The 21052-nt window shown below is 65.1% G+C and overlaps 2 protein-coding genes and 1 long non-coding RNA gene across 6 annotated transcripts in view, besides 8 other annotated features; 2 read left to right on the top strand and 1 right to left on the bottom strand.

Annotated features, from left to right (window-relative positions):
- The window catches only part of KRTAP5-AS1 (KRTAP5-1/KRTAP5-2 antisense RNA 1), a 26444-nt gene extending 24082 nt beyond the window's left edge, over positions 1 to 2362 (bottom strand). Inside the window, exon 1 of the long non-coding RNA NR_021489.2 lies at positions 2035 to 2362. This is a non-coding gene — a long non-coding RNA (KRTAP5-1/KRTAP5-2 antisense RNA 1). The remainder of the gene's footprint in view (positions 1 to 2034) is intronic.
- Positions 2137 to 2682: an enhancer, noted in NCBI's record as "H3K27ac-H3K4me1 hESC enhancer chr11:1593651-1594196 (GRCh37/hg19 assembly coordinates)". NCBI's record gives its function as "activates a minimal SCP1, AML or CMV promoter by ChIP-STARR-seq in primed H9 embryonic stem cells {active_cell/tissue: H9 hESC(primed)}" and the evidence as "EXISTENCE:reporter gene assay evidence [ECO:0000049][PMID:30033119]".
- On the top strand, positions 2255 to 21052 carry DUSP8 (dual specificity phosphatase 8). Of its 4 annotated transcripts, none has more exons than XM_011519933.3 (7): positions 2255 to 2340; positions 9169 to 9507; positions 11114 to 11252; positions 16048 to 16214; positions 16832 to 16991; positions 17186 to 17309; positions 17529 to 21052. In XM_011519933.3, the coding sequence occupies exons 2-7, from the start codon at positions 9277 to 9279 to the stop codon at positions 18583 to 18585; spliced, it is 1878 nt and encodes a 625-aa protein (XP_011518235.1). In that variant the 5' UTR covers positions 2255 to 2340; positions 9169 to 9276; the 3' UTR covers positions 18586 to 21052. The 4 variants fall into 4 exon arrangements, with proteins under 4 accessions (XP_011518235.1, XP_047282469.1, NP_004411.2 ...); XM_047426513.1 differs by lacking the exon at positions 2255 to 2340 and adding an exon at positions 2832 to 3202 and having other exon boundaries at positions 9169 to 9465; NM_004420.3 differs by lacking the exon at positions 2255 to 2340 and adding an exon at positions 2832 to 3202.
- Positions 3231 to 3778: an enhancer, noted in NCBI's record as "H3K27ac-H3K4me1 hESC enhancer chr11:1592555-1593102 (GRCh37/hg19 assembly coordinates)". NCBI's record gives its function as "activates a minimal SCP1, AML or CMV promoter by ChIP-STARR-seq in naive H9 embryonic stem cells {active_cell/tissue: H9 hESC(naive)}" and the evidence as "EXISTENCE:reporter gene assay evidence [ECO:0000049][PMID:30033119]".
- Positions 5294 to 6232: an enhancer, noted in NCBI's record as "H3K4me1 hESC enhancer chr11:1590101-1591039 (GRCh37/hg19 assembly coordinates)". NCBI's record gives its function as "activates a minimal SCP1, AML or CMV promoter by ChIP-STARR-seq in naive H9 embryonic stem cells {active_cell/tissue: H9 hESC(naive)}" and the evidence as "EXISTENCE:reporter gene assay evidence [ECO:0000049][PMID:30033119]".
- Positions 6233 to 7171: an enhancer, noted in NCBI's record as "H3K4me1 hESC enhancer chr11:1589162-1590100 (GRCh37/hg19 assembly coordinates)". NCBI's record gives its function as "activates a minimal SCP1, AML or CMV promoter by ChIP-STARR-seq in naive H9 embryonic stem cells {active_cell/tissue: H9 hESC(naive)}" and the evidence as "EXISTENCE:reporter gene assay evidence [ECO:0000049][PMID:30033119]".
- Positions 7172 to 8110: an enhancer, noted in NCBI's record as "H3K4me1 hESC enhancer chr11:1588223-1589161 (GRCh37/hg19 assembly coordinates)". NCBI's record gives its function as "activates a minimal SCP1, AML or CMV promoter by ChIP-STARR-seq in naive H9 embryonic stem cells {active_cell/tissue: H9 hESC(naive)}" and the evidence as "EXISTENCE:reporter gene assay evidence [ECO:0000049][PMID:30033119]".
- Positions 14951 to 15746: an enhancer, noted in NCBI's record as "H3K27ac-H3K4me1 hESC enhancer chr11:1580587-1581382 (GRCh37/hg19 assembly coordinates)". NCBI's record gives its function as "activates a minimal SCP1, AML or CMV promoter by ChIP-STARR-seq in primed H9 embryonic stem cells {active_cell/tissue: H9 hESC(primed)}" and the evidence as "EXISTENCE:reporter gene assay evidence [ECO:0000049][PMID:30033119]".
- Positions 16545 to 17342: an enhancer, noted in NCBI's record as "H3K27ac-H3K4me1 hESC enhancer chr11:1578991-1579788 (GRCh37/hg19 assembly coordinates)". NCBI's record gives its function as "activates a minimal SCP1, AML or CMV promoter by ChIP-STARR-seq in primed H9 embryonic stem cells {active_cell/tissue: H9 hESC(primed)}" and the evidence as "EXISTENCE:reporter gene assay evidence [ECO:0000049][PMID:30033119]".
- Positions 18939 to 19736: an enhancer, noted in NCBI's record as "H3K4me1 hESC enhancer chr11:1576597-1577394 (GRCh37/hg19 assembly coordinates)". NCBI's record gives its function as "activates a minimal SCP1, AML or CMV promoter by ChIP-STARR-seq in primed H9 embryonic stem cells {active_cell/tissue: H9 hESC(primed)}" and the evidence as "EXISTENCE:reporter gene assay evidence [ECO:0000049][PMID:30033119]".
- On the top strand, positions 19623 to 20496 carry LOC124902608 (uncharacterized). Its single transcript, XM_047427956.1, has 2 exons — positions 19623 to 20154; positions 20423 to 20496. The coding sequence occupies exons 1-2, from the start codon at positions 19623 to 19625 to the stop codon at positions 20494 to 20496; spliced, it is 606 nt and encodes a 201-aa protein (XP_047283912.1).

Here is a 21052-nt window from a genome sequence, read left to right as displayed (position 1 = left end):
GGGAGAAAAAGTCTACTTGAACAGCTGGGATGGGCATTGTATTGAGTTAGCTATGCCTTGACTTAAAAAAGTTGGGGAAATAGTGGCATGGAGGTTTGCTACACATAATTAGTTGCAACGATTATATGCACATTAGCGAGAAAAGTGAACCCCACTGTTCCTTCTGCGCAATAGGGATGCTTTAAGAAACGACCTTGGACGTCCTCCCGGAGGCGAGAGGAGCTTCAGGCGGCCGAGCCTGCGCCACGGCCTGCGGACGGCAGAGGGCGCGCGCGAACCGCCGGGCCGGCCCCGCTCGGACCCCCACCTGCACGGCCCGGAGCGCGCGTCCCCGCCCCAGGCTGCTGGACCCCCGCACGTCCCTCGCCGCGGCCTTGGCGCCTCCCCGGCCCCTCGCAAGGTCCTCCCGAGCCCCAGAGACCCCCGAGGCGGCGTCTACAGGCCCGGGCCGGGACTGACACCGCAGCCCCCTCCCTGGTCGCGCCTCCCACCCCCGTCCACACCTGTGCCGGGAGGCGGTGCGGCCGCCGAGCTGAGCTGAGCCGAGCCGACCTGGTCGGGCACCCAGGCCCCTGAGCCCACCGCCCAGGCCGGCCTCTGCTGGGTGCAAAGGCAACGTGGAACTAAGGCGGGGCTGCAGAAAAACCACCGTCCTCCCCAGGGTGCCACCTCCCTAGTCCGCCAGCCTGGTTAGGGGCAGAACCTAACGCTCTCAGTGCTTATTTGCATGAAAATGGCTACGGGGATTATAACAATCGCCGCCCAGGGCACTCTGCCCCCCAGGGACAGCCCAGGCCCTCCAGGGGAGCCGTATTCCCCTCCAAACCGCCCCCTGGGAGCCTCCAGGAGGGACTAAAGGTCGCTGCCTGCCACCTGCTCCAGCCTGGCCAGTAGCTGCCCAGGGTATAACCAGAGCTCTTAGGGGACAATGGGCACTCCCAGGCCACAGGCAGATGCTGGCCACATCCCAGCTGGGCAGAAGACACGCCCATCGGGCTCACCTAGGCCTGGCAGGGGGAACAAGCCAGGTGAGGCTTCCCCCCAGGCGACAGCCCCTCTATCTAACGGCTAACAGCTCCCATGCCTGCGGGTCCCAGGTCCTTTCAGGCCTGTGACTGCCTCCTCAAGGACCTCCTTCGCCCCCTCCGGGTCTCAGCCTGAATCCTCCTGCCCCCTCCCAGGGCCAAGCCTCCCCCACTTTTCAAACCCAGCAAGGCTGCAGCAGGCAGCCCTACTCACCTGGCCCCGCATCCGGGTCCGGCACCTCCAGTCTCAGGGTCCCCCTCCAGCCAGGGCCTCCCTTCTCGCAGGGCCCTCCCGCTTTGGGGCGCAGCCCCAACCCCAATAACCCCTGGGCTCCCTTCCGGGACAGACCCACTCCCGCCAAGGCGTTTGTTTGTGCTGTGTGCCAGCTCTGCGCCAGGACGCACTCCACCGCCACCCCCACCCCATACGGGCCACTGCCGCTCCCCTCAGGCTGGCCAGGGAAGGGAGCTGCAAGCGCTTATTAATCGCCAACGGTGTACTCAGCTCTGAGGCTGGCAGGAAGACTGAGTATGGAAAGGGGGAGCCCCAAACCCCGCTCAGCATCCCCTGCTGCCCACAGTACTCCCCACCCCCAGCCATCACCATTGGCACCCTGAGCTCCGTGGTCCTGGTGCCCACTGAGGGTTCTGCGGTCGTTGCGCCAGCTTCATTTTCTGTGGCCCTTCATTCAACCAGCGGCCGAAGCCCCCTTCAGAGCCCCAGGGTGACCCTGGGGGGCCCAGGCTGGCTGGGGGCTCGGGGGCAGAAGGCGGATCCCCCCACGCTCCCTCTCCACCCGGCAGCGGGGAGGGGGCCTTTTAGAAATGTCTAGGGTGTCTCGTGACAACCCCCCCCCGCCAAAAAATCATTACTTTCAAAGGCTCCCAGGCTCCTGGGCAGGGGTCTTTGTCCCCTTCCTCCAGGACAGCGAGGCCTCCCCCGCCCTCCCCCTGCAGCGCGAGTCTGACCCCCTTGCTCCCGCCCAACACCTGCCGAAGGTGCAATTACCCGTGCGTTCTTCCTGCCCCGGACTCGCCGCGTCCCCGCCGCACGCGCGGAGGTGTTCCCACAGCGGTCGGCGGGGTGCGGCCCCTCAACAGCCCGCACAGGGGTCGTCGGGGCGGCTTTCCACGGAAGCGGGAGGGCTGGGGGTCGTGGGGGGTCGGCGGCGTCCTGGGGAGCCCGCCCCCGGAGTTCGCGGATGTGTGACCCGAGGCAGCCGGCTCGCCTCTGAGGGTCCCAGGTCCGCCCGAGTGCAGGGGGATCCGGCTCCGTCCTGCGGGGGTCGCGGCGGGGCGAGCACAGCCGCTGCAGGTAAAACGCCGCGCCTGGGTCTGGGGAGGGCTCCCCGGCGGCGGCCCAGCGCCAACAAAGGCCAGGAGAAGGGGGGAGCGGCGCCGGCGCCTGTCCGGGTCGGGGGGAGGACTTCGCGCCCGGAGCCGCTCAGCTGGACCGTCCGGGGTCTGTGCGACGCGGCCGGGGGCCCGGGTGACGGGGGGCCTGGGTGACGCGGGGCCCGGGGCCGGGAGGGCTTCCTGGAGGCGGGGTCCCGGACGCCGCGTGGTCCCTTTAAGAGCCGGTCCCGGGGTGAGGGCGGAAGGCGGCGGCGGCGCGACCCACCCGCACCCTGCACCCCGCCCCCCCCCCGCGGCAGCCGCCTCAGCTTCACCCCGAGCCCGGGCTCCGCTGACGTCACCTGCCCCCGAGCCGCGCGCGCTGATTGGCTGCAGGTGACGTCAGGGGCTTTTTTCGCTCGGCATGACCTCATCCCCGCCGGCGGCCCCGCCCTCCGCCCCGGGCCTGTCACTCGCGGCCGAGCGCGGCGGCCGAGCCGGCTCCCCCCACGACGCCCCGCCGGACGCCGGACGCCCGAGCCCGAGCCCGAGCCCGAGCCCGAGCCGCGCCGGAACCTCCCGGCCGCGCCCGCCGAGCCGCGGGGCTGGGATGCGCGCCGCGAGCGCGCGTGCCCGCCCGCAGTGCGCGCGCCCCGGCCCGAGCGAGCGCTCCCCGCGGCGTTGGCGGCGGCGACGGCGGCGACGGCGACGCGGCCCGCGCGCTCCCCCGGCCCCTGCCCCGGCTGCGCGGGCCCCCGCCGGGCCCATGGACGGCGCGGCCGAGCGGGCGCCCTGAGCGCGGCGCGGGTCCCCGGAGCGCCCCCGAGGCGAGCGCGAGCGAGGTGAGCGGAGGCGCCGGCGGGGCGGGGGCGGGCGCCGGGGATGGGGTTCACCGGCCCGGGCCGGGGGGCGGAGGGCGCCGCGTCGGGGGCGCTGGGGCAGCGGCACCCGGTGGGCGCCCGGGAGGAGGAGGCGGCCCCGGAATGAGCGGCCACGGCCGTCCAGGACGCCAGGGACAGGGAGGCCCCTTCCCCGCCCCCCGCAACGCCCGGCGGACCCGGGCCCAGCCCACGCCCGCCCGCCGCGTTGCCGCCCTTCTCCCCGCAGCTCCTTCTTTGGGTGTGGAATGGGGGGGGGACAAAAATCCAGGACCCACCAGGGCCGCCTGAGATCCAGCGCGGATCTGCGCGAGCCCCCGACGTCCCGAACGTCACCCCCGCGGGGGCCAGAACCGGAGCAGGCGGACCCTGGCCCGGAGTCGGTCCGGGAGGTGTGGAGCCTCGGCCGTGGGAGGGACGCGACGGCCTCTGGCCTGGGACACCCGGGAAGGGGCCTTCCCCTGTCGGGGGGGAGGGCTGCAGATCCATCCCCCCAGTGTCCAGGCCGCACTGCCTCCCCATCCCGGGGTGCCCAGCCGGCCCCTGAGGGATAAAGCCCCCGCGCCCTTCCGCCTGCTGCAGAGGCAGCCGCGGCGCTGGGGGAGGGGCTGGCACAGCCAGGCTGCTGCAGCCACCTCGCTAGGCCCAGCTGCCCAGCCTGGGATGCGGAGCAGACCAGGTGGGGATACCTAATAGTCTGGCCTGGAGGGGAGGGGGCAACAATAGGCCCAGCCCCAACAGGGTCACCCCTTCTGGGAGAATCTGCCTCCGTCTCCCTGCTGCGGGGTGTACCGGCCTCTGCTGAGGGGAATAGGGGCTCTGGTGCTGCAGTGATGGGGGGCGGGGACACTGTGGGATGGAGGAGGGGGTGGCAGGATGTAGCGTGGCTCCGCAGTGCTCTTGCTGTGCAGCTTGGGGTGGGGGTGGGGTGCTGCAGGCCAGGGAAGCTCCTTTTGTGCCCCAGCGGGGGGTCTGAGGGGAGATCCAAACCCCGGCACTCTCCCTTGCCTCCCTTCTGGCACAGCCCACCCAGAGACACTGTTGCACCTAGGGCGGTCCAGGGGTGAATGTAGCACCCCAGGCCCCAGCCCTCCACCAGGAGGACAGTCCCATGCATTCACTGCTAATAAGCACTGGATGCGGATGGCAGATCATGTGACCCCAGCTGGAAGTTCATCCTGAAGTCTCGCTGAAATACCTCCTGCTGCAGCCAGCCGGGGGCTGCACGAGTGTGGCTGGGCAGGTTCTATTCCCCTGGTATCCTCTGTCCTCGGGGAGGCTTCTGGGAATAAAGTCCCATTAACAGAGGTGCAGAAAGACGCTTAGAGTCAGTCTCTGCTCCAGGACCCTTCTCTTCTCAGGCTGGGGCTGAAGTCAGGGCCTAGAGGCTGCCACTGGACAGGTGCCTCGAAGGGGCATCAGCTAGGGCCTGGGGAGACCTAGGTGTCACTTCTTGCAGAAGGCAGGGAAAGGGGCAGACCCACAGTGAGAGAGAGGTGGTTGGACTCTGGCCATGAGAACTGCACCCGCTGAGGCCCCCTCTGCCGGAGTTGCTCAGGGCAGTGAACCTTGGAAGCGCCACACTGGTCCTGATGTTTAGCATGTGGCACAGTGACCAGGAGGAGGGACACAGGTCTGGTGGGAAGGGAGGGAACCTGGATATGTCCGGCTCTGAGACTCGACTGTCACGGCCCCTTGTGCCAAGTCCTCCCATCCCCTGCCCTGCCCGGACCCCGTTCCTGGGATCGGAGGGAGCCCCCCGCCCCACCCCACTTTCTCCCAGGTCCACAGCTTCCCCAGGCCAGCGGAGCAGAGTGTAGGCCAGCTTGGGTCCTACAGCACTAGCCAAGGGAGCTGAGGGGAGGCAGGGATGAGGGCATCTGGGGGAGCCCAGTGAGGGAAGATGAGCTGACCTGTGTGAGTGCAGGGTCCCTGCCTCCCAGAGTTGCCACCCACCAGTCTCTCCTCAGCCTCCTTAGTGTGACGATTTCTGCCTCCAGAAGCATCCCTGGGTAACAGTGAGCCGGACAGCTCCAAGAGCCTGCCTAGGTGTGAGGGGGAGACACAGTCCCATCCCCCCATGCTTGACAGTCCTGGCAGCTGTCTCTGAAGGTAGTGAGTCCCCATTTCTAGGTGCTGAGCAGAAGGTAACATGGTAAGGATGCTGTCAGTTGAGAGCTGGGGGTGGCCTGGGACTCCCTGGTCCCGTCTGTGCTCAGGGACAGGAATGTGCTGCACAGAGACGCTGGGTGTGGGAGCTCGTGTTTGTAAGGAGTCTGAAGCTGACCCCTCGGGTACTGGAGTCCTGGGGTTCTCAGGGGATCCTGCATACAGAGGGCAAGGACGTGCGTGTACTCTAGTGTATGTCCAGCCCACGCGTGTGCACATATTCACGCGTGGGTACTTGCACACAGGGCAGGTGGATTGTGGGTAAGGAGCACCAGCCCTGTGTGTGGAGTGGGTGTGCAAAGAGGTGTGTTCTGGCACGCACAGAGGGCAGTGTGCACGCAGCACTGGAGCCAGGCGTGCTGTGTCCCAGGGGAGGGTGGCGGCCTGGTGCCTCCTGGAAGGTGTGGGCCTGGGAGGAGCCTTCTTCTGACTTTGGACTTGGAAACTGCTTCCTCCTGGGCTCAAAGACTTTTGAAAAGGGTGTATGGGGCTGTGCTAGGGGGCATCCTGTCCCCAGCCCTGCCTCTCACCCCCCAACCCCTAGGCACTGGAATAGCAGGGCCACAGGTACTCAGGAGGGCTTGGCATGTGGGGCCGTGAAAGGAGAGGCATGGAACCAACACCATCCACATTTCCTTACCTCTGTTCCCACATGGCCAGTGCTGGCCCCACTGATCTGCACCAGACTGTCCTTAGTGTCTCTGCTCCCCACCCCACCCAACCTGCCCCATCCCTGGCATAGCTGAGCCCCGATCCTTAGCATCTGGGGAGACAGAGGTGAGGAACATGTCCCCCTGGGAGCTGTAGGTCCAGGGAGACCCTGTGGGTGAGGATGCTCTCCCAGAGGCCAGCATGGCACAGAGGCTTCCTGCAGGAGGGGGCACTCGGCCAGCCCTTCGCAGTACAGAGAAGGCCTCTGAGGGGGCGGGGAGCCGGCGAGCTGCAGGGAGCATGCTGGGCACAGCAGGTACCTGGAGTGGGAAGGAAGGTTAGGACCAGGTAGGGCAGAGGAGCGGAGGGGCTGAGGACTGGGCTCTGCACTGCCGGGCACCTGCTGGGGTGGGTAGGAGAGAGCAGGGAGGGGCGCGTGCCCACTCTGCAGAGGAGCCTGCTCCATGGTGGTGGCTGCCGCAGGAGCAGCGGTTGCCTGGCACCTCTGCTGTTGCCATGGTGACGATGGAGGTGCTAACTTGCTAATGAATCCCCTTCGGCTGCAAATAACAATACTATTGTGGGTGATAGGCCCAGCTCCAGCTCAGCGTTGCTTAGGAGGCAGAGCAGGGCCAGGTAAAGGCCAGGACCCGTCCTCCCGCCCCTCCAGCCCCTGCCCACCACCCTGCAGCTGGACTTGCCCTCCTCCCTCCCCTCCCTCTGGGTCTCAGATCTGGCTGGCTGCACCGAGGTCTCTCATGGCAGTGTCAGGACTCAGGGCTGCATGAAGGCTAGGCCCTGGCTGCAGAGAGGGCGAGGGCCTCTCCTCACACCTGCCCTCCTCCCTGCACTGGGGGGTATTTGCTTCTGTTGTTTTCAGTGAGAGAGAATCCACCCCCACTTAACGGATGAGGACATTGAGGCCGGGGCAGCTCCTCAAAAGACCCCCAGCCCAAGTGTCCCTGCCACTGCAGCCTTCTCGGGGTTCTGGGTCTCTGAGCTGGACCCTTGGGTATCCTACGGGGCACCTGGAGCCGCTGTCTCACCAGAACCACACATCTGGGCCCTCGCCTCTCACCACCTGTGCAAGGCTCAGGTAGAACTCGGGAAGGACAAACAGCTCATCAAGGACCCCCTGTGGGTAGTCAGGGACCCCCTTGGCAGGCAGAGACCCTCCACAGCAGGCAGGCAGCAGGCCCTTTTGCTGTTGAACTTGCTGGGTCTGGCCCTGGAGAGGACTCCCAGGCCTCGTTCCCCACCCTGTGGTGGAGGCTGGAGCACCAGCCCAGGAACGTTATCTGAGTGGGATCCTGAGGCCCTGCTGACCAGGTGCCACTGCAATCCCTGGTGTCAGCCGTGGGGTCAGCTGAGGCTGCCCATCCACAGTCAGGTGTTTCCCTGGCCTCTGGCAACAGGAGGGATGGTGGGAATGCACAGAAGCCTGGGCCCAGTCGAGGCGGGAGGGGCCAGGCAGGGGCCAAGCTTGAAGTGTCTGGAGAAGGAGAGTGAGTGCGAGGCTGGGGCTCCTGGGCAGGGAGGAGCTGGGACCTGCCCCTCAGTGTGGAGTTGGGGCTGGGCCAGGGACGAGGTCCACACCAGCCTTGCACCTGCTGCTCTGTGAACTCTCTCACTGGCCCCCGCCGGCCTGGGAGCTGACCTGGAGAGTCCAGAAACGGTGGTGGCCTCTGTCCCCAGCCTGCTGTTTGCAGTGCATGGGTGTCCTCAGGGCGCCTCCCCCCAGTGCCTCCTGTGGCTGTGGGTTGGGGGTCTGGCTTGCTGAGGGCCCGCTACCCACCGTAGCCCGCTTTGCACAGGGCGCAGGGCCCAGGGTACATCTATCTCCCAGCCTTCCCTCAGTCCTGAGCTGGGTGGAGTAAACTTCCTGACTGCCTGGCAGCTGTGGGGGCACAGGGAAGATGGCATTGCAGGGACACCCAGTGCCCATCTGTGTGTGACCCAGGTGTGACCCAGGTCCCAACCCTGCCCCAAGCCTCGGTTTCCCCATAGTTAAAGCAAACTCATCATCCTTAACACTATGCGCCTCCTAGGGGCTGTGAGTGTAAAGTGGACCCAGAGGAAGGCCAGTCCTGGCAGGTGACAGGGAGATGGGGCCCGGCAGTGGGGCAGTGACAGGCTTGTCATCAAGCCTGCAGGAGGGGCTTCCGGAGACTCCATCCTCAGACATCCCTACTCCACCTGCCCACCCGGCAGTCTGAGGCCTTTGCAGGCCATGCCGAGGGCCTGGCACCTGCGGGGTCCCCGACACTGACCCTCCTCCCAGGGCTGCCCCGCCCCTCCCATCCTGGGCCCTATCAGCCCATGAAGGAGCCTCCTAGACCCCAGGCTCCGCTAGGGGAGAGGCACTGTGTGGGTGCAACACGCCCCTGCAGGAGCTGGGCACTCACCCCCAGCAGGCACGTGGCGCACACTAAACCTCAGCCTGCAGGTCAGGAGGGCAGCAGTGGCAAAGGAGCCGTGCCTCTGTGCCTGAGCCCCTCCCGCACCCGCCTGCTATCCGGCTGCCCCCGGGAGCCCACTCTCCAGTGGAGGCAGCCCCAAGGCCACCATCCACCAGGGGCTGGATTATCGGCTTACGGAGCTGCCCTGGAGTCAAGTCTCCAGGGATTGGACTCCCTGGGGCTGTGCTAGGGAGAGAGGGGCAGGTGTGAGGACAGCAAGCCCGGAGGAGGGCAGAGAGCTTGACCATGTGGGAGGGTGAGGTGCAGTCCAGACCCCGACTTGCTGGGGGTCCTGTGGTGGAAAAGATGCAGAAGTCACAGCAGGGAGATGCCTGTGTCCCAGGGATGAGATGGAATGTTCTGGAATGCCTAAGGGTCCGTGAACCCCAGGGCCCACAGGAAGGACCCCTGGCCTCTTCCAGCCCTCAGACCCTTCTCTGTGGGGCCCATTTGCCCCCCTCTGCCTTGTTGCATCCTGCTGAGAGCTGGCCTTGTGACCTGGACGGGGTCTCTCCAGAGGGAGAAGGGTTCCCACGGGCACATGTTGGTGTGTCCTGGTGGGCGCAGCTCCCAGCTCTGATCTGTCCTGGGGAGCTTCTGGGTGCCACCCAGGGGCCCGCAGCACTGCTGACCATCCCCCTGTCCCTGCAGGTCCAGCACCATGTGCTAGGTCACTCCCAGCGCGAGGCCACACCTGGGCCGTCGGAGCAGCCCCTCCTCACTTCAGGGGTCACCCTCCCCAGCACCCATTGCCCCACCATGGCTGGGGACCGGCTCCCGAGGAAGGTGATGGATGCCAAGAAGCTGGCCAGCCTGCTGCGGGGCGGGCCTGGGGGGCCGCTGGTCATCGACAGCCGCTCCTTCGTGGAGTACAACAGCTGGCATGTGCTCAGCTCCGTCAACATCTGCTGCTCCAAGCTGGTGAAGCGGCGGCTGCAGCAGGGCAAGGTGACCATTGCGGAGCTCATCCAGCCGGCTGCACGCAGCCAGGTACCCAGCCCACTGCCCACCAGGCATGCATCACGTCCAGGGTCCACAGCTAAGGGGCCCTCAGCTCGGGCAGCACCCCCCTCCTCTGCCTTCCAGTCCAAACTCGACTCCTTGGGGTCACAGCCAGGGGCGTGTGGAGCAGTCCTCCCTGGCACTTGCCTCTCACCGCTGCCTGTTGCCCCTGCTCAGGGCATCCCCCGCACCCCCGCCCGCAGCACCCTTCCCTACCCTCCCTCCAGGGCCTCCTTGCTCAGCTTCTGCACAGAGGTGCCGGGCCCTCCCCACGCAGATAGGACTGTGTGGCCAGGGCCAACCCAGGCTCACAGAGGGGAGCAGTGAGTGGAATAGCAAGGTGTGACCACATGGCAGTGGGAGCAGCCCAGCTGGCCTACACGGGACAGGGACAGCTGTGTGGTCCACTTCCACTGCTGTGAGGACAGGAGGGGTGGTCAAAAGGCACACGTGAGCAGTCCATGTCCCCGTCCCACAGCTTCCCCCAGCCCGCAGAGTATTCAGGGACCCAGAATTCTCTCTGTGGCCCCCCAGGAATGTCCTTCTGGGGAAGGACAGCTCATTCTGCCCAGGACCATCAGGTGCAGCTGGGGAGGGACCAGCGGGGCTGTTGACCTGTGAAGGTGGCGGCACCTCCTCCTTCTACTGCCTCGCAGGGGACAAGGGTGACAAGCTCTTGGCCCTGGAGGCTTTGAGAGGGGTCTGGGTCACTGATAGGCCCTGTTCAGAGCTGGGACATGGGAGGACTCAAGTGGGATGGCCACTGGCCAGGAGTCCGCCCACCCCAAGGCCAGAATCGGCTCCCTTTGGTTTCCAACAAGGGGAATCTGGTGATTAATGACCCCCAGCAAGGACTCCCGGCAGAGTGCGATCCCATTGGCTGCCGGTGACGTCACCCAGCCCAGGGTTGGCGGCTCAGCTGGCTTAAGGGCTGAGTGTGTGCTTGCAGGGCGGGGGCACCGGTGCTGTCTGAGCAAAAGCCGCTCAACATCTGGGCTGGCCCTTGGGGTGGGGGAGGAGGGCAGGAGGAACCCAGCTTCCAGCTGCTGCCTCCGGAATTGGTGCAGGGGCCTGGGGTCCTGCTGCAGCCCTCTGTTTCTCCGCTGGGGGTTGGGGAGGGGATAGGGTGGGGAGCAGAATTGCTGGCTACACAGTTAGCCCCACTGAGAGCCCACACCCGAAGGCATGCGTTTCAGGGCCGAGCTTCTCTGTCCCTCCGCCACCCTGGGAGCCAGCCAGGTCCTATCCTGGGCTCCCATCGCACTCACCTGTGTCTCCTCCACACAGGCCTGGCCCAGAGCGTCCGTCCCCTTCACCCATGTGCATGGCATGGGGGCACAGCTGCGCAGGGCAGGAGTCCACCCCTCCCTGCCCCCATGGCTTGCTGTGTGGTGTGGGTGTGTGCATCTGGGCCTCTGGCAGATGGAGGAGAGTGTGTGACTGCACCTGCCCTCCCCTCCAGGCAGCAAGGTGACAGCTGCCTGCCTCCCATCATCTGATGCCCTTACTATTCCCTTGAGCCAGCATATCTGGGACGGGGCCAGGGCATCGATAGGTGGAGGCGGCATGCTGATCTCTGCCCCATGGCCCCCAGGTGGAGGCTACGGAGCCACAGGACGTGGTGGTCTATGACCAGAGCACGCGGGACGCCAGCGTGCTGGCCGCAGACAGCTTCCTCTCCATCCTGCTGAGCAAGCTGGACGGCTGCTTCGACAGCGTGGCCATCCTCACTGGTGAGTCCATGACCCACGCCTCCCCGAGGCACTTGCTCCGCCAGCAGTGGGGCTGGGGCTGGGGCTGGGGCATCAGGGAGGTGTCCGCTGGGCACGGGGGGATCTCCATACATCTGTGGTTCTTGAGGCCCCACCATCCTCTCCCCAGGACGCCCACACTTCAGGACCCACCAATATGACTATCCTCAACACAGAAGGAAACCTCACAGTACAGCTGGGCTCCAGAGGTGTAGGGCAAGGCATGCAGGCTGGGAGCCCCTCCCACTCCCGGAGCTCCTGTCAGAAGCCGGAGGCAGAGGCCCCATCCTCTGGAAACTCAGTTGGAGCCGTGGGGTCCCGAGGAAGTCCCCCCACCTCCGAAAGCCCAGCTGAGTGCAGGTTGCCTGGCAACAGCCTGGCACCAAGGCTGCTGCCTGGGTCCCAGCAGACAGCCCCCAGGGATCCCTGTGGCCCAAAAGCAGCCTGGGCAACTGGCCCCAAGCCCTGGAGGCAGGGAAGCCGCCCCCCTACACACGCTGATACACACTCATATACACTCACACACTCGTGGTCCCAGAGGGTTCTTTCTTTCCTTGGGCTGTGGCTGAGGGCGTGTCTGTAGAATCCACCTCCTGGGGTCGGCCCAGGTCCCAGAGCCGGACGGAGCTGGCCTGTCCCAGGGATGTGCACCCTCCCCCATCCAGGTCTGGGGTCTTTGTCCAGGCTCCTTCTGCCTGGCCTCTGCTACCAGGGGCTGTTCCAGGCAAGCAGAGGATATGGGGGACTGTGGGGTGCAGGCACGGTGGGGTGAGGAGTAGGCAGCCAAGCCAGGCCCTTGGCCCTGCATCCAGTGGAAGCAGGGACCTTCACCCAGCCTGAGGGCGACTGTGGGGGATGAAGGGGTGGCAGCCGCTTTGGCCAGGCCGACCTCCCGACATGGCATGTCCTGGGACCTAAAGGGCACCTGGGAGGCTTGAGGGTGGTCCAGTGTCCTGGGCAAGAGCATTGAGGCCAGGCTCCCTCCCCACCTCTCTGTGGGTGAGACCAGCACCCTGCACTGCTGGGTGGCCATGGTCAGAGGGTGTCTGTGCGTCTGTGCATGGCTCTGGGCGTCTGGTGACCAGCATCTGCCTCTGCGAGTGTGTACGTGAGCATGTGTGTGCATGTATGTGTGTGTGTGCATGTGCATGCATGTATGTGTGTGCATGTACATGTGTGCATGTATGGGCATATGCATGCCTGTGTGTGCGCATATGTGCATGTACGTGTGTGCACGTGTATATGCATGTATATACATGGAGGTATATTTGTGTATGTACCCGCCTGTGCTTGTCTGGGTGAGATTTGGGATTTGTGTGCATATGTGTGAACTCTCAGAACCAGAAGCCACAGAATGACGCACTCTGATCCAACCCTGTTCCCCTAGGTCCAGTTTGAGGACTGAACTGGTGGGGGGCGGGGAGAGAGTAGTTTGGGGCTTTTTACAGCTCACCAGGTGTAACAGGACCCCTCCCAAAGGCCAGTTTGCTGCCCTAGCCAGGAATGGGAGTCAGGAGACTCTTCTTGGAGGCTGAGAAAGGTCCCAGAGTGGCACCTCCCTACCTGCAGGCAGATCCCAGGAAAGTCCCAAGCCTGGAAGGGCCTGTCTCCCTCGAGGCCAGAGTGGGACGGTTTGGGGGGCTGGGGCCCTCACCCAGCACTGGTGGGTGGGACAGCATGGGTGTGCAGGTGGGCGTGGATGAGTATGGGCATGGGAGGGGCCGGGCCTGTGCTAGGATTTGCCAGGAGGGCACTCCCAGGGCCTGGTCATGCCACCCTCAGAACTGCCTTTCTGTGCTGACATCTGCCCTGCAAGGTTGAGGCTGTGTCCCCTTTTCTCCAGAAGTGCAGCTGCCAAGGAGTCCCAGGCCCCGTGGTATACAGTGGGCTCATGGCGACACCCAGGCAGGCCCACGGGCTCTGCCCTCAGGCTCCCTCCCACCCTGTGGTGGGCACAGCCCCTGCTCTGGGCTGGCTCTGCGAAGAACCAGGGAGAGTGGGAAAGAATATATTGGGGGGGGCAGGGGTGCTGCCCCTCACCCAGGAGAAGGGATGTTCCAGGATCCCGCGGCACAGGCAACACAGCTCCTTGGTCCATTTGCAGGGACAGTAGAGGCCGGAATGTGAGGACCAAGCCTCTGTCCTCCCCACAGCAGGGCAGGTTTGCGGGAAGCGGGAGAGAAACAGTGGCAGGACAGGCTGTGCTGGGGTCCCAGGACTGCTGTGAAGCCCACCTCCCCCTGCCGCTCCTCTTCCCCCACTCCAGCTGCGCTGCTCACGATGTTGGGGGGCAAGCGGCAAGGGATGAGAGAGGGGCCTGGCCCTTTAAGCAGCGGCCCGCAGTCGGCCTTGGACCCTTGGCCGGGCGACTGCACTGCAAGTGGGTGGGGTGGCGGCCCCCGCCCTGGCGGGGAGTCCAGGGGTCATGGAGGTGGCGGGCAGAAGTGCGTCTGTGACTGTGGCCATAAGCGCTTGCAGGGTCTCCCAGGTGGCATGGGGCAGGCACATGTCCTGGTACACACGCCTTTTTTCAAGTCTGGGATTTCACTGTGAGTAACAGGTGAACTGCAGGCGCTGCCCCAGAAACCCCCGAGTCAGGGAGCAGGGATACTGGGAAGGCGCCTTTGGAGATGCCTGGGGGTAGGGGTGCCTCCCCAGGGCCCAAAGAGTGCTGGGACCTACAAAGGGTCCACTGAACCCCAACACCCCTCACTTATCACTCACCCCCAGAGCCTGGGTGGTTCTGAAATCCCTGGAGCCTCGGTCCCTGCTAGGCCTGGCATCCACAGTGGGGTGTGTAGGGACATCCACACTACCTGCTCCGCCTGGGGAGGTCCTGGGAAGCTTCCTGGGGAATTGCTGACATAGCTGTCGGTTCTCTGCACCTGTCCAGAGACTTTCCTGCCTTTACCTCCTCTGGGAGAGGTGGGAGGGTACTGATGGAATCCCCAGCACCTCCTCCTTTGGCCAGGCCCTGGAGAAAGCAGAGAGTAAGGCACAAAATCCCTGGGAGAGCCACAGGGAGGAGGAGAGGCAGCAGGTGGCAGAAGAGTCTGCAGAGAAGTGGTGCAGCCCTTCCGCCTCCCCGGGGCTGTCCTGCAGCGGGAACATCCAGGGCTACCCCAGCTCAGAACAGTGAGTGGAAGCCAGCTACAGTGCCCATCCCAGCCTCTGCTCAGGGGAACCTGCAAGCTGGGGCGTCGTTGGTGACAAGTCACCTACCTGCTTTCCCCTGTCCAGTCAGCAGGTTCCCACAGAAGAGACTGTTCCTCCAAGGCTGCTGCCTCAACCCACCCAGCCTGGAGCTTCCCCTATCTCCACAGTCCCCCAGCGTCACGCCCTTTTTAGGGACACGGGGAGCTGGCACAGCAGGTGTTCTGGTTGGGGGTTTGCACACACTCCCCTGTCCTCAGGAGTTATCCAGGGTGGCTCTACTCCACCCAGCAGGGGAGAATGGAGAGAGGAGGAGCCCTAGGCACTGGGGGCACGCGGGGCAGGCAGTGGGCACCTGCTACACATGTGGCACCAGCCTCTTCTGCAAACCAGGACAAAAAAGAGCCCTGGGGTTCCCAGGCCCTGAGCTCCCGCCGTCACTCCCCTGCCCCGTCCAATGGGATAGGGCAGGCCTCAGCCCAGCTGCCTCAGGCTCTGCACAAGCAGGAGCCGGCTTGCCATGGGGGCTTATGTTCTGGAAGGTGTCCTCGGGGTGGTGCTGGGCCATGCTGGCTTCACCCTCCCAAGAGCTGGCAGCCACCAGGTGGGTGCTGCCCAGTTTCTGGTCCACATCGGTGGTCGCCCCAGCCAGGTCAGGGACGGCCAGGTCCATTCTCACCATGTGTCTTCGTGCTCATTATCTTCTTGGAACCACATGATGCTGTGTGGCAGGCAGGAGGAGGAAGCTGAGACCAGAGCCATGGTGTGCACTACCCATGGTCACTGAGTCAGACATCCAGGGATTCACGTTCGGGTCCTTCCAGCTGGTGCAGGGCAGGGGACTTCCTCCCACCAGCCTGTGGCCTCGGACTTGGACGTGTGTGGAAGGCAGCAGCACACGCTGGTCACGTGTGCAGCGGGTGCCCACTGCCTGCTCTGCGTGCCCCCAGTGCCCCGGGCTTCTCCACTCTCCGTCCTCCCCTGCTGGGTGGAGTACAGCCATAACCAGACAGCAAATGCCCCGAGGGCTGTGCCAGGGTGATGTCATGCCTGGGGACGGGGAGGGCCTCTCGGAAGCCCTGGCCTCCTGGTCCTGGCACCCAAGCCCAGGCCTGGGGCTCCCAGCCAGCTGGAGGCAGGGAGGCATTGCATCAGTGCAGGGGAGGAGGAAGGCCCAGCCTGGCCCCAGGCCATGGGTATGGGAGATGGCCGGGCTCGTGAGGGCCTCTCCTCTGGGCTGTGTGACACACACCCTCAGCAGGAGACCCCTGTGGCCTCTGAGCCCACCCCTGCCTGGGCCCAGCGCGTGCCGTGATGGCCAGCCACCTCAACGCCACCTTTACGGGCATCCTAGCGGCGTCCTCAGCTGGGTCAGCCCCTAATTAGCATGAGGAGGAATGTGGGCGTAGGTGCAGGCTGTAAATGTGTGGCAGTACCCCCTCCCCCCACCGCGGGCAGAGCAGGTGCTCCGCCAGAGGCTTGCCGGCTGGGCTCAGGCTCGGGTCTGGGCTGGGTGTGACTGATCCTCAGCAGTAGATGGGGTGCCCTAGGCGGACAGGGCACCCTAGGCGGACAGGGAGCCCTAGGTGTTCTCTCAACCCACTTGACGGCCCTCCTCCTACAGGGGGCTTCGCCACCTTCTCCTCCTGCTTCCCCGGCCTCTGCGAGGGCAAGCCTGCTGCCCTGCTACCCATGAGCCTCTCCCAGCCCTGCCTGCCTGTGCCCAGCGTGGGCCTGACCCGCATCCTGCCTCACCTCTACCTGGGCTCGCAGAAGGACGTCCTAAACAAGGTGTGTGTGCAGTGGAGTTCGGGGGGTGGTCAATGGGAAAGGGGCAGGAGCTCCAGAAGCAGCTTGGCAGCGGAGCGGGGGATGAGGGAGGAAAGGAGCTGAAGGCAGTGGATGAGCTGGGTGTGGGAGAAGCATGGGTGGGGGCCCAGGAGGACCCCAGGCTCCCCACCCATGCCCCTGGAAGGACCACAGCAGGGCTTGCGGGAGGGCCCGGCAGGGCTCGGGGGAGGAGCGGGGAGCTGGCATGCCAAGCTGCGGATGTCACTGGGCCTCTGGCCAGCTCTGAAAGAATCCCATGTTTTAAAAATGGTGACGAGGGAAAAGGGTAAAAGCCACCACCCAGGCAATCATAAAATTCCTAGGAGCCCACCACCAGCCGTGGGTGGGGCCTGCAGTCGGAGGCCAGCCGTGCCCCACCCCCCGCACGGGCCCAGGGTGCCAGGGTGGACCAGAGAGGCCTCCTGGGCCCTCCCCTGGATACACTGGGATCTGGGACAAATTCCAAGGCTCCCAGGATTCTAAAGGCCCTCCTGACGGCAGGGCAGGAAAAGCCTCCACCTTCACTCCCGCCCCGAGCTTCTCCCACCCCTTTCCAACCCGCCCTCCCGCCCCTCCAGGATCTGATGACGCAAAATGGAATAAGCTACGTCCTCAACGCCAGCAACTCCTGCCCCAAGCCTGACTTCATCTGCGAGAGCCGCTTCATGCGGGTCCCCATCAACGACAACTACTGTGAAAAACTGCTGCCCTGGCTGGACAAGTCCATCGAGTTCATCGGTGAGTCTGCGGTGGGCGGAGGGCAGGGACCTGGCTAGAGGAAGGCTAGAGCTGTGTGTGGCCACAGACACAGGAGGGGTCCCCAGGAAGTAGCCGGAACTGTTGGCAGTTGGGCGGGTGGGGTCCCCTACCTGGGCCAGGGAGAAGCTGTGCAGTCTTAGCCCTCACCTGGCCCCCATGGCCCACCTGCCCAGATAAAGCCAAGCTCTCCAGCTGCCAAGTCATCGTCCACTGTCTGGCTGGCATCTCCCGCTCTGCCACCATCGCCATCGCCTACATCATGAAGACCATGGGCATGTCCTCCGACGACGCCTACAGGTACCACCTTCCCCAGTCGCGCACTTGTGGCTCACAGCGTCGCTTCCCTTCCCCCGGCTGCCCACTTGCACCAGAATGACCCCACCGTCCAGGACCCGTGGCAAGGGAGGAGGGCCTGAGACCAGCCTGGCGCACATGAGCTCGTGGGTGCCCAGCGGGTGCGTCAGGTGGGCAGCCTGGCCCCGGCGGGCGCCTGGGACTGAGCCTCCTCCCCCGCAGGTTCGTGAAGGACAGGCGCCCGTCCATCTCGCCCAACTTCAACTTCCTGGGCCAGCTGCTGGAGTACGAGCGCAGCCTGAAGCTGCTGGCCGCCCTGCAGGGCGACCCGGGCACCCCCTCAGGGACGCCGGAGCCTCCGCCCAGTCCTGCCGCCGGGGCCCCGCTGCCACGGCTGCCACCACCTACCTCAGAGAGCGCTGCCACAGGGAATGCGGCTGCCAGGGAGGGCGGCCTGAGCGCGGGCGGGGAGCCCCCCGCGCCCCCCACGCCCCCGGCGACCAGCGCACTGCAGCAGGGCCTGCGCGGCCTGCACCTCTCCTCGGACCGCCTGCAGGACACTAACCGCCTCAAGCGCTCCTTCTCCCTGGACATCAAGTCTGCCTACGCCCCTAGCAGGCGGCCCGACGGCCCCGGGCCCCCCGACCCCGGCGAGGCCCCGAAGCTCTGCAAGCTGGACAGCCCGTCGGGGGCCGCGCTGGGCCTGTCCTCGCCCAGCCCGGACAGCCCGGACGCCGCGCCTGAGGCGCGCCCACGGCCCCGCCGGCGGCCCCGGCCCCCCGCCGGCTCCCCCGCGCGCTCCCCCGCGCACAGCCTCGGCCTGAACTTCGGCGATGCGGCCCGGCAGACTCCGCGGCACGGCCTCTCGGCCCTGTCGGCGCCCGGGCTGCCCGGCCCTGGCCAGCCGGCCGGCCCCGGGGCCTGGGCACCGCCGCTCGACTCCCCAGGCACGCCGTCGCCCGACGGGCCCTGGTGCTTCAGCCCCGAGGGCGCACAGGGGGCGGGCGGGGTGCTGTTTGCGCCCTTCGGCCGGGCGGGCGCCCCGGGACCAGGCGGCGGCAGCGACCTGCGGCGGCGGGAGGCAGCGAGGGCTGAGCCCCGGGACGCGCGGACCGGCTGGCCCGAGGAGCCGGCCCCGGAGACGCAGTTCAAGCGCCGCAGCTGCCAGATGGAGTTCGAGGAGGGCATGGTGGAGGGGCGCGCGCGCGGCGAGGAGCTGGCCGCCCTGGGCAAGCAGGCGAGCTTCTCGGGCAGCGTGGAGGTCATCGAGGTGTCCTGACCCCTCCGCTGCCCTCGGCCCCGCCGCCCGCAGCCAGGCCCGTTATAAATGTATATTATATATAATGCAAAGAAAGGTAAATGGTTTTACTGGGATTTTTATCGAGAAGTAAATATTTCGATTTTTTATTTATTTAAGCTGTTCATTCTGGCAATGATTTGGCAACAGTGCGGGTGGTCCTCGAGCTCTATTTTTACTGTCTGGTATTTAAACTGAAACATACGTTTCTAAGCAATACGAGGCCACCTTCAGTCGCAAGCTGGGTGCCAGGCCTGGGGCCCCTCCCAGTTCCCCCGCCCCAGGAAACACTGCTGACCTTTGCAAAGGCTGCCGAGCTTTCGTGCACTTTTTACATAACAAAAAGGTGAAAAAAAGGAAAAAAAAACTTCTTTGCCACAAACTGAGCCGCAGAACCCCCCTTCTCCCCCCACCCACCTCCCCTGCTCCCTCCCTTCTCTGCGCCGGCCTAGGGCTCTGCACCAAAGCCATAGGATGGAGGAGCAGGAGCTGGTGTGCCCCGGAGAGGTGCGGCCAGCCCTCCATCAGCTCCAGGCACCAAATCTTGGTGGCAAGGAGGGCACCCCGCTGCCCGTTGCCCCAGAGCTGTTCTCTGGCAGGGGAGGACAGGCATTGGGCTTCATGGTGCCAGGGTGTTCAGAGGGGCTGAGAAATAGAACAGTGTGTGTAGGGGCTTCGGGCAGGGGGTTCTGGAACGTCAGATGAGGTGCAGCCCAGGGGAGGACAGAGGTGTTAGTGCCCCCAACTCCTGCCAGAGCCCCAGTCCAGCCACAGAGTGGCTCAGAAAGGCCATTCCTAGAGGGCTGCGGCCCTCCCTTCTCCCTTGCCCATGCCCCCAGAGCTGCCTGCCGGGCAGGGTGGCACCATTGCAGGAGAGGAGCTTGGCCTCCGGGGGTCAGGCAGGAGGCGCCTGGCTAGCCAGTGCTGGCTCCACTGGGCAGGAAGCCCTGGACCCCCAGGTATGAGGAGGGGGTGGTCTTAGGGTTCTGTTCCAGGTCTGCCCCGCCCCCCTCCCAGCCATGCCCCAGGCAGAACTTGGAATTCAGGTGTGCACCTGCAGGCTGAGGGGCTCTGTGAGCAGGTGCTGCTCACACAGGGAGTTCAGGCGCCAGCCAAGCCCCTGTGCTGCTGGGATAGGCCTGCTTCACTTAGGGAGCACTGCCTCAAGACAGGTAAAGCCCCCTCGTTTGCCCCCACCCCCATGGGGCCGCTCAGGAGAGAAACTCCCATTCACCCCTTTCCCAGGGTGCTCTCTCTCTAGGTGGCATGCCAGCCCCCAAACACAAGTGGCTTTTGGGCCCAGGTGGGTCAGCCTGCTGCCCCTGCCCCATACCCCCTCGGGCCATTGGGACCCCTGCCCTTCAGATGTCCTAGGGTCTAGGAGTGGGGCCAGTCACTGTGGGAAGAGGCCAGGGGCTTGGCCGGAGAGGCAGCCCAGGGCAGGACCCAGTCCTGAGTCCTGGAGCAGGGCCAGGGAGGCGCCCATCCCGCCCCAGCCAGCCGCCCTCTCTGCTGTTTCTTCTATTTGTTCTTCTTTTCACCCACAGCTCTGTGTTCCTGTCATCCCTCCTTTCAGCAAAAGTCCTGTTCCCGTTCCCTCTGTCCCCACCCACTCCTGTTCCCCCAAGAAAATAAGCTATCGTTGTATTTGCAATCTATGGATTAGAGGTTTAAGTATTTATTATTATTGGTTAATTATTATTAATTATGTAAATTTGCCTCCCATATGTCTGTTGCGTTGGGTTTCTGAGGAGACCCTGGGTGAGGAGGATGCACTGGCTTCCCGCTTCTCGCCCCCCACCCCTGTGCTGTCCGGGAGACAGTGGTCTGGGGCCACTGGTTGGGCCCCCTTCTCCCTTCCCCCTTCCCCTTGTCCCTTCTGCAGGCCGTTGAGGGGGGCTGTCTGTCTCAGTCTGTCTCTGCTCCCACTCTTGAGGCACTGGTTACCGCAAAGTGAGCAGCCAGCAGGGGGGCGAAGGTCCTGTGTTGGCCACTGCCTCCTCCAGTGCTGCAGGAGGCGGGCTGAGGCCCCACCTGGTGGCTTTCACCTGACCCAGCCCTGAGTCCTCTCCAAGCCTCTCTCCGGCCCCTCCCACCTGGCCACTGCCTCCTCCAGTGCTGCGGGAGGCGGGCCAGGGCCCCACCTGGTGGCTTTCACCTGACCCAGCCCTGAGTCCTCTCCAAGCCTCTCTCCGGCCCCTCCCACCTGGCCACTGCCTGGCATTGGGATCGCCCCAAAATGGACCCGGCCCCTCCTGTTATTTGCTGGGAAGTCCAGCGGAGGAGAGGGTGCAGGTCCCCCGCTGAGCCTCCAGTCTCTGTAGACTGGGCTGCCGGCCCTTCAGCCCCCCTTGGAGCCCCTCCCGCCACAGCCGCACCTTCTGCTCCCGGCCCCTCCCTTTGTATTTGGAGACAATGTGTTGTAATAAAGCTTAAAGTGGATGTTTTC

Source organism: Homo sapiens, chromosome 11 (genome assembly GCF_000001405.40).
Source record: "Homo sapiens chromosome 11, GRCh38.p14 Primary Assembly".
Classification (NCBI taxonomy): domain Eukaryota; kingdom Metazoa; phylum Chordata; class Mammalia; order Primates; family Hominidae; genus Homo; species Homo sapiens.
Note: the sequence above shows the minus strand (reverse complement) of the source record. Positions and strands in the feature narration are given on the sequence as shown.